We start from the raw sequence: 15,517 nt of genomic DNA, 5'->3' as shown, positions 1-15,517 counted from the left end.
CCTGTATCCCCAGCTACTCGGGAGGCTGTGGAAAATTGCTTGAACTTGGGAGGCGGAGGTTGCAGTAAGCCAAGATGGCACCACTGCACTCCAGCCTGAGGACAGAGCGAGACTCCGCCTCAAAAAAAAAAAAAAAAAAAAAGCCAGGCTTGGTAGCGCATACCCGTGGTCCCAGCTAGTTGGAAGGCTGAGGCGGGAGGACTATTTGAGCCCAGGAGTTCAAGGCTGCAGTAAGCTATGATCATACCACTGAACTCTAGCCTGGGTGACAGAGATAGACCTTGTCTCGAAAAAAAAAACCACCAAAAACAAGTGTTTGTGCATCAAAAAACACTATCAACATAGCGAAAAGGCAACTTATGGAATGTGACAAAATATTTGCAAGTCATACATCTGATAATGGGTTAATTTCCAAAGCATATAATGAAGTCCTACAGCTCAACAACCACCACACAAACACCCAAAATTAACAAATCTTCAAAAGACATTTCTTCAAAAATATAGACAAGTGGCCAATGAGCACATGAAAAGATCCTTGACAGCACTCATCACTAAGGAAATAAGGAAATGCAAACCAAAACCACAATGAAATACCAATTCACACTCATTAATATGGGTGTAATTAAAAAAAAAGAAATAACAGGTAATGGCAAGGATGTGGAGAAATTAGAACACTTGTGCCCTGCTAGGGTGGAAATGTAAAACATGCAGCTACTATGGAAAACAGTGGAGGTTTTCCCAACATGCAGAAATAGAATTACCATGTTACAGCAATTTCACTGTTAAGTAAATACCCAAAATAAAAAGCAGAGATATTTGTACACCTATGTTCATAGCCTTATTCACAAGAGACAAAAGGTGGAAAGAATCCAAGTGCCCACTGACAGATAAGTGGATAAACAAAATGTGATGCAGACGCTCCTGGACTTACAATGAGGTTACATTCCAACAAACCCTCAGCAAGTAAAGAATTTAATACCCTTTAATACCCTTGATAAGCCCATCAAAAAGTAAAAAATTGTAAGCTGAATCATTCTAAGTCCAGATGCTCCTCAATTTACGATGGGGTTACATCCTGATAAATTCACAGTGAAGTCAAAAAAATATTAAGTTGAACCATCGTTAAGTCACATGGCTAGAGTACAATAAAACTAAGGGAATGATAGGGGAGTCATGAGGATGCAAAAGTCAGACCCCAGTCTAACGAAAAGAGGTACATGGTTGGAGTAATGCCGATAACCTTTACATTTCATATTAATGGAATCATACTTACCTGGAGGGGATGGACATCCGTGGCCCTTAGCACCAGAGAGGCGGTGCTGAAGCAGATGCCTGGGGTGATGAAAGGGGAGGTAACCGGTCGAGGGTCGAACAGATTTGGATGATTGCAAACTTTTCTCAGCTGCATCAAAATGTTGATGACGCTCATGAAATGGCCTGTGGCTAGTGTCTCCTTAGTTCTGGGGAAAGAGGAAAAATAAATGAGACGTCCTAACAGCCACCTACACTCCAATCTCGAGTCCCAGGGCCCACCCTCCTTCCTCCCTTACGTGGTCTGTGCCATGAAGTCATCATAGAGACAGCGTTGACGCTTGGAGAGCCTGCAGCGGATAACATGCTCGTACTTTTTGGGCATCTGCTTCTCAACATCCACCTTAACTCGGCGCAGTAAAAAAGGCCTCAAAACCTAAAAGCAAATTAAGCTGGAGGCTAAACAGGAGAACTCAGGCACCGAGCCCCAGCCTAAGCCCCTCAGCAAACACTAATGGAGTCATACGGCACACCATATCAGACACCAACCACACAAAGATGAGTCAACTGCAAGCCCTCAAGGGATCTGCTGTCTGCTGAAGGAGACAGACACAAAATGATACCATGACACAGGAAGTGATATAAGGAAGCACTGTGGGCAGACCAACTACGCAGAATAGAAAACTCAAACTAGATTTTGAGGAGTAATTGTTAAGTTTACAAGATGATGCAAATAAATCTAGAAGATGAGGAGAATAAAAACTGTGGCCTTGACAGGAGATAAAACAAAAGGCAAATCTGTAATCTCAGAAGATAAAATCTAATAGGACACAGTCATCAATGTCTACAGTGACACGGAAGAAGTAAAGGAACAGAGATAAATGAAGGAAAAGTAATAGTTAAGGAAGACTTCCTGTTTTCTTTTTTTTTTTTTTTTGATACAAAGTTGCGCTCTGTCACCCAGGCTGGAGTGCAGTGGCGCAATCCTGGCTCACTGCAAGCTCTGCCTCCCGGGTTCATGCCATTCTCCTGCCTCAGCCTCCTGAGTAGCTGGGACTACAGGCACCCGCCACCGCGCCCGGCTAATTTTTTGTATTTTTAGTAGAGACGGGGTTTCACCATTTTAGCCAGGATGGTGTTGATGTCCTGACCTCGTGATCCGCCTGCCTCAGCCTCCCAAAGTGCTGGGATTACAGGCGTGAGCCACCGCGCCCGGCCGACTTCCTGTTTTCTAGCTTAGTTTACCGAATGATAGTGATTGACCAAGATGAAGTAGAAATAACAGGCTATAAGGCCAGAGATGTCTAGCTTAGAACAGTGTTGAGTTCAAGAGGAACTCTCAATTAATGATAGCAAATCAGAAATTTAAATACAGGTCAAGTGATCTAGAAAGTCAAGGAATTTTAGTACAGACTGGAGAGTCTTTATCACATAAGAAATAGTCAAAGCCTTAGGAATGAGTAGGCCTGTGAGATATGCAGACTGAGAAGACAAAAAAAGTAAAGATCAGAATGCTGAAAGATGTTGTGATTTAAAAGTTGGGCGAAAAAGGAAGAGCCAAAGAAGACCAGAGAGAGAAAACACCAACAATATGAAGTTGAAGAAATCCAAGCAGGGATCAATCAGCAGTACCATTCTACTCAAAGACAGTAAGGACAAAAACATCACCATTTAAAAAAAAACAAAAAACAAACAGGCTGGGAACGGTGGCTCACACCTGTAATCCCAACACTTTGGGAGGCCAAGCGGGGGCAGGGCGGATCACTTAAGGTCAGGAGTTCGAGACCAGCCTGGCCAACATGGCGAAATCCGCCTCTACTAAAAATAACAAACATTAGCTAGGCATCGTAGTGCAGACCTGTAACCCCAGCTACTCAGGAGGCTGAGGCAGGAGAATCGCTTGAACCTGGGAGGTGGAGGTTGCAATGAGCCAGATCACGCCACTGCACTCCAGCCTGGGTGACAGAGAGAGACTCTGTCTCAAAAAAAAAAAAGCCCGGCACGGTGGCTCACACCTTTAATTCCAGGATTTTCGGAGGCCGAGGCAGGCAGATCACGAGGTCAGGAGATCGAGACCATCCTGGCTAACACGGTGAAACTCCGACTCTACTAAAAATACAAAAAATTAGCCGGGCGTAGGCCGGGCGCGGTGGCTCATGCCTATAATCCCAGCACTTTGGGAGGCCGAGGCAGGCGGATCATGAGGTCAGGAGATGGAGACCATCCTGGCTAATACGGTGAAACCCCGTCTCTACTAAAAATACAAAAAATTAGCCCGGCGTGGTGGTGGGCGCCTTTAGTCCCAGCTACTCGGGAGGCTGAAGCAGGAGAATGGCATGAACCTGGGAGGCAAAGCTTGCAGTGAGCCAAGACCGCGCCACTGCACTCCAGCCTGGGCGACAGAGTGAACTCTGTCTCAAAAAAAAAAAAAAAAAAATTAGCCAGGCTTTGTGGCGGGTGCCTGTAGTCCTGGCTACTCGGGAGGCTGAGGCAGGAGAATGGTGTGAACCCAGAAGGCGGAGTTTGCAGTGAATGGATATTGCAACACTGCACTCCAGCCTGGGCGACAAAGCAAGACTCAGTCTCAAAAAAAAAAAAAAACAGAATTGATGACTAAGATGAGGTCACTCAATCTGGCAATGGGTTAGTCACTAGAACACTGCAGCTTGACAAAGGAGTTTAGCCTGGCACTGACTTCCCTCTCCCCAAGGGTTTCCTGGGCACTGCCCAGGTGCTCAGGAATGGTTCCTTACCATTCCCAATACCCTGACAAACTGTTGCAGGCCCTACCTTGTGGAGGCGTTTGACTAGACCTTCATTATACTCTTGGCTGCCCTCAATCATGCCAGTTAGGGGATTAGAGAACCACTCCTTGAACTCGCGATGAGACTGGAAGACATGGGGCATCAAAAAGTGCATCAAGGACCACAGCTCCATGAGGCTGTTCTGCAAGGGAGTTCCTGTCAGGAGCAGGCGTCTCTGGCTGCAAAGAGACAGAGAGAATCAGAGAGAGTATGGTCAGCAAGCTCCCAACCTTCTGAGCATTCTGATACATTCCTCAACCCAGGCAGCCCTCCCTTCTAGCCAAGTCAACCCTCCCATGAATCCCCATCTCCATCTCCACCTGTTGAAGTTGAGGAGTGACTGCCAGCGCTGTGACTTGAAGTTCTTGATGTTCTGCGCCTCATCCAGAATGAGATAGCGCCAGTTCTTGCGACGGAAGGCCTGGTGGTCCTGCAGCACCAGCTTGTAAGATGTGATACACACATGAAAGGCATTGGGCTTGGTCCAGCCCTGAGGGATCAAAGACAGAAAGTAGCAGATAGTGGGATGAAAAGAAGAGAGCAAAGGGAAGACATGCTAAACTCCTCAAAGGACAGTAATCAGGTTGGAAGAAAAGAGAAAGTCCCAGCAAAAGAATGGAGCGACAGAAAGAGGAGGGGCCTGGGTGCGGTGGCTCACAGCTATAGTCTCAGTACTTTGGGAGGTTGAGGTGGGAGGATCTCTTGAGCCCAGGTGTTCAAGGTCAGCTTGGGTAACATAGTGAGACCCCATCTTTATTTTTACAAAAAATTAAAAAATTTTTTTTAAAAAAGAAAGAGGAGAGAAAGGAATTCACCTGAGGAAAGGGCTTAAAAATAAAGGAGGCATCAATGGGAGGAAAGTGACCACATGAAACATCGAACCTGCCGCTTGAGCTTCCTCTCTTTCTGGGCTCCATAGTAAGTGAGGATTTTAAAGCTGGGGCACCACCGTTTCAACTCCATCTCCCAGTTCAACATCACGCTGGTGGGAACAATGATTAAATGGGGACCCCAGTTACCTGTTAGGCAAAAAAATCAGAGATGGTAAGGAAATGTAAATTCTGTGGTTCTGATTTCTCAGTTATAACCCTGGCCACCCTTTGGCCCTTCCTAGGAATCCTAGCACCTACACTGTCCTCTCTATACAGTTAATGACCGGAGTCAATAAAGCAAAAGTCAATGAAGCTGGAGTCATCACTGAACAAGCTCCCAGGGAGCTAGACTAGGGGGAACAAAAGAAGGGGCCTTGCCTACTTACCTTTCTCACAAGCCAAGTGGGCAAGCAGAGAGATGGTCTGGATGGTCTTCCCAAGCCCCATCTCATCAGCAAGAATGCCATTAAGCTTCTTCTCATACATGGTAACCAGCCAGTCTAGCCCAATGTGCTGGTACTCCCGGAGCTGGCCCCGCAGAAGCAGGGGAATGGGCGTCTTTACCTGTCAGAGAGGAAATATAGGTAACACAATGGAAATGAGGCATTTGTTGTGGGGACATGAGAAAGTCAAGACATGAGAAAGGAGAGGCCAGAACCTGGGGATACCTGGGTCGTGGCCAGCGTGTAACCCTTGGGCTGGAGACTTTCAGCTGCTGCAGCAATGTCAGTAATTTCTTTCTTTGGACCTAGAGTAGTGGGCCCTGGAGTAGGAGGCCCACTGCCTGCATCTGCCTCACTCTGCTCTTCATCCCTGGCAAGCAAGTACTCCACCCCAAAATCATCATCTTCCTCCTCTTCATCTGCTTGGCTCTGTGATTGGGCATCCTCAGACTCTTCAGACTCAGATTCCTCTGATGCTGAACTTCCACTTGTTTCTTCCTCCTCTGAATGTTCATCTTCCTCATCCTCACTCCGGTCCTCCACAGAGTCTAAAGGGTAAGACCAAGGCTTACTGCTCATCATACCTGCTCTTCCAATGGCCACCCTCCCCAGCTCCTGCTTCATGACCACATATTCACCTGACTGACTGCTACTATCCTCCTGAGGAGGCTCTTCCGCTTCCACGGGCCCCTCTGGTTCACAGTCAGAGCTATTAGCATCAACCTCATCTTCATCCTCATCTTCACTGCTCCCAGAGCCTGGGGCATAGGCTCCTGCATACTGCTGCAATAGCTCCTCCATGGAAAGCTCACCTGGAAGAGAAACAAAAAGCTTTTGGTTGCTCTGAGGGGAGGGAGAAGGGGAGGTCTGAGTAGTACCAGTTAATTTTACCTAGGTCTCTGTAGATACTGCTAGGCCCAGGTCTGAGGGGAGGCAAAAGAGCTTACTTTCAGCATCAGCTAGCAAAGCCAAGCCCCACAACCTGGGGGAAGTACCATGGGAATTGGGAAGAACATTATCAACCTGGTGAGCCTCTCAAGGTCCAGGTCAAATGCTGTCAGTATCTTCCTACATTAGCTCTTCCCTCCATTTCACTCCCACATCACCATTTAAACTTCTATCATAAGCACTCATCACTTTCTACTTATCATTACTGGTTTACAAGTCTGTCTTAGTCATTAGACATGGAATTCCTCCAGGGTGGATACAAAGTGCCTTATTCATCTCTTTATCCTTGGTACTGCACACCGCAGACACCAAGTGGATGCTTAGTAAAATGTCTGGTAAATGTCACCTTCTCGAGCCAACTCGCTCAGCTCCATGGCATGATCCACCTCCCCTTCCAACTGTTCCTCAGCTGCTATAGTATCCTCTTCATCCTCCGCTAGGAAAGAGACAGAAGCAAGATTAATAGGGATAGAGGCTAGAGGCACAGGACACAGTCCAAATGAAACAGATGAGAAAGCCTGAAAGGTTAGGTCCAGACAATTCATTCAAGGGGTAAGGGGCAATAGGACAAACCGAACAGCCCTGACCTTCCTCTTCGTTGGCAGTAAACTCTTCATCATCTTCATCTGGATGCCAAGGCTGTTTGTTGCGCTGTGTGACAGCAGAGGGTGGGGGCTTTATCTGTATGGCAAAAGATAAAAAAGGGAAGGGTCTAAGGTTACAGTAGCAGAAGAATGGCACAAACTTGAAAAAGGTGTCACAGGAGAATCACTGTCCCATTGAGTGACAGTTGCCACTGGTATAATCCCAGGGCAAGAATACAATCAAGGGTTTTCTCTCAGCACCAGCTACCAAATCCTGGCCCCACTGCCTGGGGAAGGAACTGTGAAAGTGCCAGGTAACAAATAAAGGCACCCAACACTTCCCCATGCACTTGAGACATATGGAGAAACAGAAAAGACTTAAGGGTACCATGCCAGCTTCCAACCTGTAAGCCAATAAGGGAACATTAGGGCATGTTCAGAGAAGTGGCAAGTAACGGTCAGAGGAAGTACTTTTTCAAGACCACACAGCAATTTAAAGAGGAAAGTGCAATACGCTCTTCCACTATAGCGCCAAAACCTGCCAATCACAAAATGCAACTTGCCCCAAACAGATTCTTCCCCAGTCATCCCCAAAGAGCCCAAATGTCCATTACTAGCAGAACTCCTAAAACTCATAACCAACCTCACAGCCCGGAACTCAGACCCTGAACCTCTCCCTCTGTTCCCCCTCTGAACCCTCCCTCTGCTCCTTCTGCCTATACCTCCAACACCTGAGGGGGCTCTTCTTCAGCACCTTCTTCAGGCCCATCTCGGGTGTCACTATCATGAGATGAGGGGGTTTGAGAGGGGCTGGAAGGCCCTTCCAACAGCTGAGGGGGAAGGGAACGGAGCAGCTCTTCCAGTGGCAATTCTCCCTCACGGCGAAGCAGCTCAATCTCACGCCTCTGGGCCTCTGCATCATTGCCTTCCTGTTGTTCTTCAACTTCAATCGTTTCCTCATCATCCTCTTCCTCATCCTCTTGGGGTTGAAAGTCCCCATCTATAGCAGGAGAACAAGGTCACAAAGTCCACGGGCCCTGCAAGCCACAGGGTGGGTTTTTCAGCTCTGGAAAGGGTACATGAGGAAGAGTAACAGGACCAAAGAGAACACACACCTTCATCATCCAGGCGAGAAGCAGGGGGTGGAGGACTGGAGGCAGCTGAGGAAGAGCCGAGGCAAGGGGAAGAGCCTGCTTTGCTGGAGGTTAATGGCTGGTTGAGGCTCTGAGACAGAAGGTCCGAGTACTTTTCAGTTTGCCCCACAATGAAGTCCAAATGCAGGTCCAGGGCTTTTTTGCGCTTTTCCTCAAGCCGGGACTGTTGCTTGAATTGCACCACCTGCCACAGATGTGAAAGGGACTGCTCACCAAGATAACCATTTTATTTATGTACTTTTACCCGATGTTTAGGGAGACCTTCTTTAACCAGATCCTGGGCTGGCCTCTTAGGAAAGTAAAACTAAATAACCTTAGGGGCTCACTATGGTCTAAAGGAAGCACAAAGGGAGCATGCAGGAAGAAGAGCCAGCTTCGCCTCAGGTGGAGGGAAGGTTTGCAATCTGAAGCTGGATTTTTTTTTTTTTTTAAAGAGATGAGATCTCACTATGTTGGCCAGACTAGTGTCAAACTCCTGGGCTCAAATGATCCTCCTGCCTCACCCTCCCACGTAGGTGGAACTACAGGCATGCATCACCACACCCAGCTGGAACTGGGTCTCAAAAAATAGGTAGGTGGGCCAGGCACAGTGGCTCATGCCTGTATTCTCAGCACTTTGGAAGGCTGAAGTGGGAGGATCACGTGAGGTCAGGAGTTCGAGACCAGCCTGACCGACATGGTGAAACCCCCATCTCTACTAAAAATAAAAAATTAGCCAGGCGTGGTGGCGGGCACCTGTAAACTCAGCTACTCCGGAGGCAGAGGCAGGAGAATCGCTTGAACCTGGGAGGCAGAGGTTGCAGTAAGCCCAGATTGCACCACTGCACTCCAGCCTGGGAACAAAGCGAGACTCCGTCTCAAAAACAAAAAAACAGGTAGGTGAAGCCAGGCATAGTGGCTCACACTTTGGGAGGCCAAAGTGAGAGGATCGCTTGAGCCTAGGAATTCAAGATCAGCTTGGTATGTAACAGCGAGACCTTGTCTCCACAAAAAAATATTTTTAGGCCAGGTGCGGTGGCTCACGTCTATAATCCCAGCACTTTGAGAGGCTGGGGCGAGTGGATAACCTGAGGTCAGGAGTTCAAGACCAGCCTGGCCAACACAGCAAAACCCTGTCTCTACTAAAAATACAAAAATTAGCCAGACATAGTGGCACATGCCTGTAATCCCAGCTACTCCAGAGCCTGAGGCAGGAGAATCACTTGAGCCTGGGAGGCAGAGGTTGCAGTGAGCCAAGATTGCGCCACTGCCCTAGGTGACGGGGTGAGACTCTGTTTCACAAAAAAATTAAAAAAAAAGAAATTAAAAAGAATTTTTTTAATTAGCAAGATGTGGTAGCACGCGCCTGTAGTCCCAGATACTTGGGAGATCGAGGCAGGAAGATCGCGTGAGCCCAGGAGGTTGAGGATGCAGTGAGCTGTGATCGTACCACTGCACTCCAGCCTAGGAGACACAGCAAGACTCTGTCCAAGACAATTAAAAAATAGGTGGCTGTTCCCTAAGTACACATGAGGAAAAAAGCATTCCCAGCAGCATAAAGTCTATGTGTAAATGGACAGAGATATACAAAAGAAAGGTGGGTGTGGAGTGGAAGGGAGAAGGAATGAACATGGCAGGAGGCAAGACCGAAAATACAGACGGAAACTGGGTAGTACTTAAGAAATAATTACAACTTACTATACAGGCAGTGGGAACTTTGACGGAATTTAAGCATGTGCTAAGTGGCACAAATACATTTCAGTAAACACATGCTAAATGCCCTGCAAGGGACAGATGGCCTAGAGGTGTCAAGGAGAACTATTAACAATCCCCAAAGGCAGGACCCATATTTTGCCACTATACTTTTTTATCCATACAACATAAACGTCATTAGAGTTGCCTGAAATTATATTTACTCCCTCAAGAAGTTTTGATCATTCCTACTACCACGCCATCTACCAATCTAATCCAAGGCCATTTTCCTTTCCTGATCCCCACTGTCTACCTTCTCCACATTGCTCCAGAACTGCCTGACATCCTTGGCCATGGTGGAAGCAATTCGACGCAGCTTGGCCTGCTCCTCCCTCCGGGCCCGTTCCTCTTTCTGCCGCTGCTCCTCGTGGTGCCGGATCACCATGCGCACCACCTGTGGGAATGAAGACCCAGGGTGAAAACACTCAAAGCCAGACTTCCCCACCCAAAGGCAAAGAAAATAATCAAGGCCAAGAAATCTGGAAAATCAAGAGTTTGCTCTTAATGCCTACACCATTCTGTCTGGTCCCCTTCCAACAAACCGGGAAGGAACAGACCTGAAAAGGAAAAGGAAGGAAGTCCCAGCGGAAGACCTACCTTCCGGGCCACACCCCGTTTCCAACGGCGCTCCTGAGCAAAGTCAGCAGAGAGCCACTGCATCTCTTCGCACAAATAGTCCCAGTGACCTTTGGGGCGAGGGGGCTCTGGCACCTTAGGCAGCCTCTTCAGTGACCAGAAACCCTCCTTCCGCAGCTCAGCAATCCGAGTCTCGATCTCGGCCTCCTAATCAGGGAGAGCCAGATCAATCAACAGTTCTAAACACACACTCCATCTCACTGCCACGGCTGAATTCCTGAGCACTAAGTGGGCTGAGTGTGTTATGCTTATGTTTAGTCCACATACCAAACTTACAGGCAGGTATCATACTCTCTTCAGAGAAGGGAAAAAAGATCAGGGAGATGAAGAAGGAAAAAAGATCAGGGAGATTAAGTGATTTGCCCAAGATCACACAGCTAGAAAGTAATAGAAAATGTGAATCAAAAATAGGTCTGAGGACTCCAGACAGCAAATTTCATGCTCTTTCCATTATTTAACACAATCTCCACACCCCATAGACATAGGAGAGACTTGGGAAATCATATCCCAAGAGGAGCTTCCCAGAGGAGTAGGGAACACATACTTCCCTCTTGATTCTAGATACAAGGGGTCATCATCATTGTAGAATTCTACTTACTCAGAGTATTTTCATGATGCATTAAGCTTAGAAATATGCTATAATGCCCAACTGACACACTGTTGTTTTTAAAAATACTACTTTTGTAAAAATGCATATGTTTATGTAAAAAATACTGAAACGTTATACGTGAAATGTTTAACACTGATTAGGTGTAAAAAAGAGTGGTCATTTTTACTAAAGCTTCTACACTGATTGTCTTTTATTTAAAAAGCATTTAAAATTTTTTTGACAGAGACGACTCAAAAAATTCAGGACAACTGCCTTATTTCTTTTTCTGAATCTCACTCAGAAATCTGAGTGAGATTTTTCTGGGTCTCACTCTGCTGCCTAGGCTCAGGTTATCTTCCCAACTCAGCCTCCCAACTCAGCCTCCCAGGTAGCTGAGACTGACTATAGGCACATGCAACCATGCCCAGCTAATTTTTTTGTATTTTTCGTAGGGGCGAGGTTTCACAATGTCAAGGCTGGTCTGGAACTCCTGGGTTTAAGCAATCCGCCTGCCTGGGATTCCCAAAATGCTCAGATTATAGGCGAAAACCACCGCACCCAGCCTCTGTCTTTGTTATTTCTGTCCTCTCCTGATAAAAACTAAATCAGAGAAAATGACAGCCAGAGACCAGACAGGACTAAATGGCCTGACAGTGAAGGAAACATCAAGAAAGACGTGGATATTAGACCAGCTGCTCTCAAACTTGAGGAGGCACCGGAATCATCTGGAGGACTTTTAGAAACAGGTTGTGCTCACACCTGTAATCCCAGCACTTTGGGAGGCCAAGGCGGGTGGATCACAAGGTCAGGAGATCGAGACCATCTTGGCTAAAACGGTGAAACCCCGTGTCTACTAAAAACACAAAAAATTAGCCAGGCATAGTGGCGAGCGCTTAGTCCCAGCTACTCGGGAGGCTGAGGCAGGAGAATGGCGTGAACCCAGGAGGCGGAGCTTGCAGTGAGCCGAGATCATGCCACTGCACTCCAGCCTCAGCGAAAGACTGAGACTCCGTCTCAAGGAAAAAAAAAAAAACCCAATTGTGGCCGGGCGCAGTGGCTCATGCCTGTAATCCCAGCACTTTCAGAGGCCGAGGCTGGCAGATCACAAGGTCAAGAGATCAAGACCATCCCGCCAACATGGTGAAACCCCATCTCTACTAAAAATACAAAAAATTTAGCCGGGTGTGATGGCGGGCGCCTGTAGTCCTAGCTACTCAGGAGGCTGAGGCCAGAGAATGGCTGTGAACCCGGGAGGCGGAGCTTGCAGTGAGCCAAAATTCTGCCACTGCACTCCAGCCTGGGCGACAGAGCGAGACTCCGTCTCAACAAAATAAATAAATAAAATAAAAATAAAAATAAAAAATAAAAACATTGCTGGGCCCTACCCTCATAGTTTCAAATGGGTCGGTGGGTGAGAGGTACCAAGAATTTGCATTTTTTTTTGAGACAGAGTCTCACTGTTACCCAGGCTGGTGTGCAGTGGCATCATCTCAGGTCACTGCAACCTCCGGTTCCCAGTTCAAGCAATTTCCCTGCCTCAGCTTCCTGAGTAGCTAGGACTACAGGCCTGCGCCACCACGCCAGGCTAATTTTTGTATTTTTAGCAGAGATGGGATTTTGCCACGTTGGCCAGGCTGGTCTCGAACTCCTGACCTCAGGTGATCCACCCGCCTCGGCCTCCCAAAGTGCTGGGATTACAGGCATGAGCCACCACGCCCGGCAAAGAATTTGTGTTTCTACTAAGTTCCCAGGTGATGCTGATGCTGCTGGCCCAGAGACCACACTTACCACTGGATAAATGTAATACAGACTGCACGATAGAAATAAATAGAAACCAGTAAATCTTAAGAGCATCACAGTTTACAAAGTGCTTTTGTGTCTATTTTCTCCTTTTTTTTTGAGACAGGATCTTACTCGGTTGCTCAGGCTGGAGTGCAGTGGCATAATCGTGGCTCACTGCAGCCCTGACCTCCTGGGCTCAGGTGATCCTCTCAACTCAGGCTCCTGGGTGGCTGCGACTGCTACAGGCATGTGCGACTATACCCAGCTAATTTTTTGTACTTTTTACAGAGATGGGGTTTTACCACATTGCCCAGTCTGGTCTTGAACTCCTGGGCTCAAGAGATCTGCCTGTCTCAGCCTCCCAAAGTGCCAGGATTACAGGTGTGAGCCACTGCGCCTGGCCTTGCTCCTATAACTTAAACCTCTTAATAGCCTATAAACTATTATATCATTCCTATTTTATTTACAGCAAGGAAAATGAGACTCAATATTCAAGCAGTTTGCTCACGATCATATACATTAAGGCAGAACCTATACCCTAAATCCATGACAAAAAAGAAAAGAAACATAAAATACTCAAGAGGACGTGGGAGTTTACGGAAGATAACTCCCAAGAATCTTCATAAGCCTTTCTAATACGTACATGCTTGGCCTGTTCTGCAATTTCGGCATGGCTCTTCTCCCACTTCGGGCCCTTGTTAGCCAGGTCAGCAGCCTGGGATAAGCTGAACCCCTCCAGGGGCACTGTGGCACCATCTGGGGGGCCTGGAGGTCCATCCAGTGAGGAATCTTGAGCTATGTGCTGCGGGGAGATGCCGCCTGCCCCACTAGAGGCTGGGGAACTGGATGAGGCAGGGGACACAGGATTGCTGCCTGTCATGCCGTCCGACACCATCTAGAAAAGAGGAAAATGATGGAGAAAATAAATGCTTCGCACTGTGCTGAGTGTTTTAGATACATTATTTCATCCGATCTTCACAAGAAAAAACTGTGTAGAGTAAGGTATAAACCTTATTTTCATAAACACAAACGTTCGGGATAAAGTTTTTATTTTATTTTTTTGAGATGGAGTCTCGCTCTGTCGCCCAGGCTGGAGTGCAGTGGCGCGATCTCGGCTCACCGCAAGCTCCGCCTCCCGGGTTCATGCCATTCTCCTGCCTCAGCCTCCTGAGCAGCTGGGACTACAGGCGCCCGCCACTATGCCCAGCTAATTTTTTTGTATTTTTAGTAGAGACAGGGTTTCACCACGTTAGCCAGGATGGTCTCGATCTCCTGACCTCATGATCCGCCCACCTCAGCCTCCCAAAGTGCTGGGATTACAGGCGTGAGCCACCACGCCCGGCCTTGGGATAAAGTTTTAATAAGGGACTCAAGATGGCAGAGCCAAGTTTATAGATGCTTGACATGCAAGAATTATGTCCTGACATTTACACAGTTCCCAAACTTAAAAATATATATATATATAGGCCGGGGGTGGTGGCTCATGCTTGTGATCCCAGCACTTTGGGAGGCTAAGGTGGGTGGATCACCTGAGGTCAGGAGTTTGAGACCAACCTGGCCAACATGGTGAAACCCCGTCTCTACTGAAAATACAAAAATTAGCTGGGCGTGGTGGCGGGAGCCTGTAATCCCAGCTACTCAGGAGGTTGAGGCACGAGAATCGCTTGAACCTGGGAGGCGTGGGAGGCGGAGGTTGCAGTGAGCCGAGATCGCGCCACTGCATTCCAGCTTGGATGACAGGGTGACTCTGTCTCGGAAAGGAAAAGGAAAAAAAAAATTTATATACATACATATATATATATATATATAGCATATGATTTCAAATTCTGATCGTTTCAGAGCCTCAGTGATTTCATGCACATAAACAACTCCCTATTTACCCTCCATTTTCAGAACAAGTGTGGCAAACTCACTTATGCAATAAATGTGAGCTACCACTAAATTCAACAGCCACCAATAAATCCCAGGCCACCTTAACCTCTTCACTGGACAGGCATGGGCTGCAGGCATAGCCAATGTTCTCAAACACCCAACACGTCACTTTACAAGGTACTGCAAAAGCATTAAGAAATGGAAGCTGGGCTCGGTGGACTTTGGGAGGCCGAGGCGGGCGGATCACATGGTCAGGAGTTCCAGACCAGCCTGACCAACATGGTGAAACCCCATCTCTACTAAAAATACAGAAATTAGCCACGTGTGGTGGCGTGAGCCTGTAATCCCAGCTACTCAGGAGTCTGAGGCAGAGAATTGCTTGAACCAGGAGGCAGAGGTTGTAGTAAGCCAAGATTGTGCCATTGCACTCAGAAGGAAGGAGGGAGAGAAGGAAGGAAGGAAGGAAGGAGGGAGGGAGGGAGGGAGGGAAGGCAGGGAAGGGAGGGAGGGAGGGAGGGAAGGGAGGGAGGGAGGGAAGGAGGGTGGAAAACAGGGCTGGGCACGGTGGCTCACACCTGTAATCCTAGCACTTTTGGAGGCTGAGGCGGGTGGATTACCAGAGGTCAGGAGTTTGAGACCAGCCTAACCTACATGGTGAAACCCCATCTCTACTAAAAACACAGAAAATTAGCTGGGCGTGGTGGCGGACGCCTGTAATCCTAGCTACTCAAGAGGCTGAGGCAGGAGAATCACTTGAACCCAGGAGGTGGAGGTTGCAGTGAGCCAACACCACACCACTGCACTCCAGCCTGGGCAACAAAAGCGAAACTCTGGGCCAGGCGCGGTGGTTC

General features: G+C 47.7%; 1 protein-coding gene and 1 non-coding gene across 2 annotated transcripts in view; both read right to left on the bottom strand.

Annotated features, from left to right (window-relative positions):
• Window positions 1-15,517, bottom strand: part of SRCAP (Snf2 related CREBBP activator protein) — a 42,239-nt gene that overhangs the window by 23,657 nt on the left and 3,065 nt on the right. Inside the window, exons 4-18 of the mRNA NM_006662.3 lie at window positions 13,438-13,689; window positions 10,385-10,570; window positions 10,041-10,181; window positions 8,018-8,240; window positions 7,625-7,902; window positions 6,906-6,999; window positions 6,665-6,754; window positions 6,009-6,182; window positions 5,596-5,918; window positions 5,314-5,491; window positions 4,938-5,074; window positions 4,376-4,545; window positions 4,042-4,234; window positions 1,551-1,687; window positions 1,274-1,460 (exon numbers count right to left, since the gene is read on the bottom strand). Of these exons, the coding sequence (NP_006653.2) occupies window positions 1,274-1,460; window positions 1,551-1,687; window positions 4,042-4,234; window positions 4,376-4,545; window positions 4,938-5,074; window positions 5,314-5,491; window positions 5,596-5,918; window positions 6,009-6,182; window positions 6,665-6,754; window positions 6,906-6,999; window positions 7,625-7,902; window positions 8,018-8,240; window positions 10,041-10,181; window positions 10,385-10,570; window positions 13,438-13,689 (2,763 nt within the window). The remainder of the gene's footprint in view (window positions 1-1,273; window positions 1,461-1,550; window positions 1,688-4,041; window positions 4,235-4,375; window positions 4,546-4,937; window positions 5,075-5,313; window positions 5,492-5,595; window positions 5,919-6,008; window positions 6,183-6,664; window positions 6,755-6,905; window positions 7,000-7,624; window positions 7,903-8,017; window positions 8,241-10,040; window positions 10,182-10,384; window positions 10,571-13,437; window positions 13,690-15,517) is intronic.
• Window positions 7,088-7,216, bottom strand: SNORA30 (small nucleolar RNA, H/ACA box 30). The gene has a single exon (NR_002966.1). It is a non-coding gene; the product is annotated as a small nucleolar RNA, H/ACA box 30 (small nucleolar RNA).

This window comes from Homo sapiens, chromosome 16 (assembly GCF_000001405.40).
Source record: "Homo sapiens chromosome 16, GRCh38.p14 Primary Assembly".
NCBI classification, from domain to species: Eukaryota; Metazoa; Chordata; class Mammalia; order Primates; family Hominidae; genus Homo; species Homo sapiens.
The sequence above is the reverse complement of the archived record's forward strand: the minus strand, read 5'-3'. Positions and strand labels throughout refer to the sequence as shown.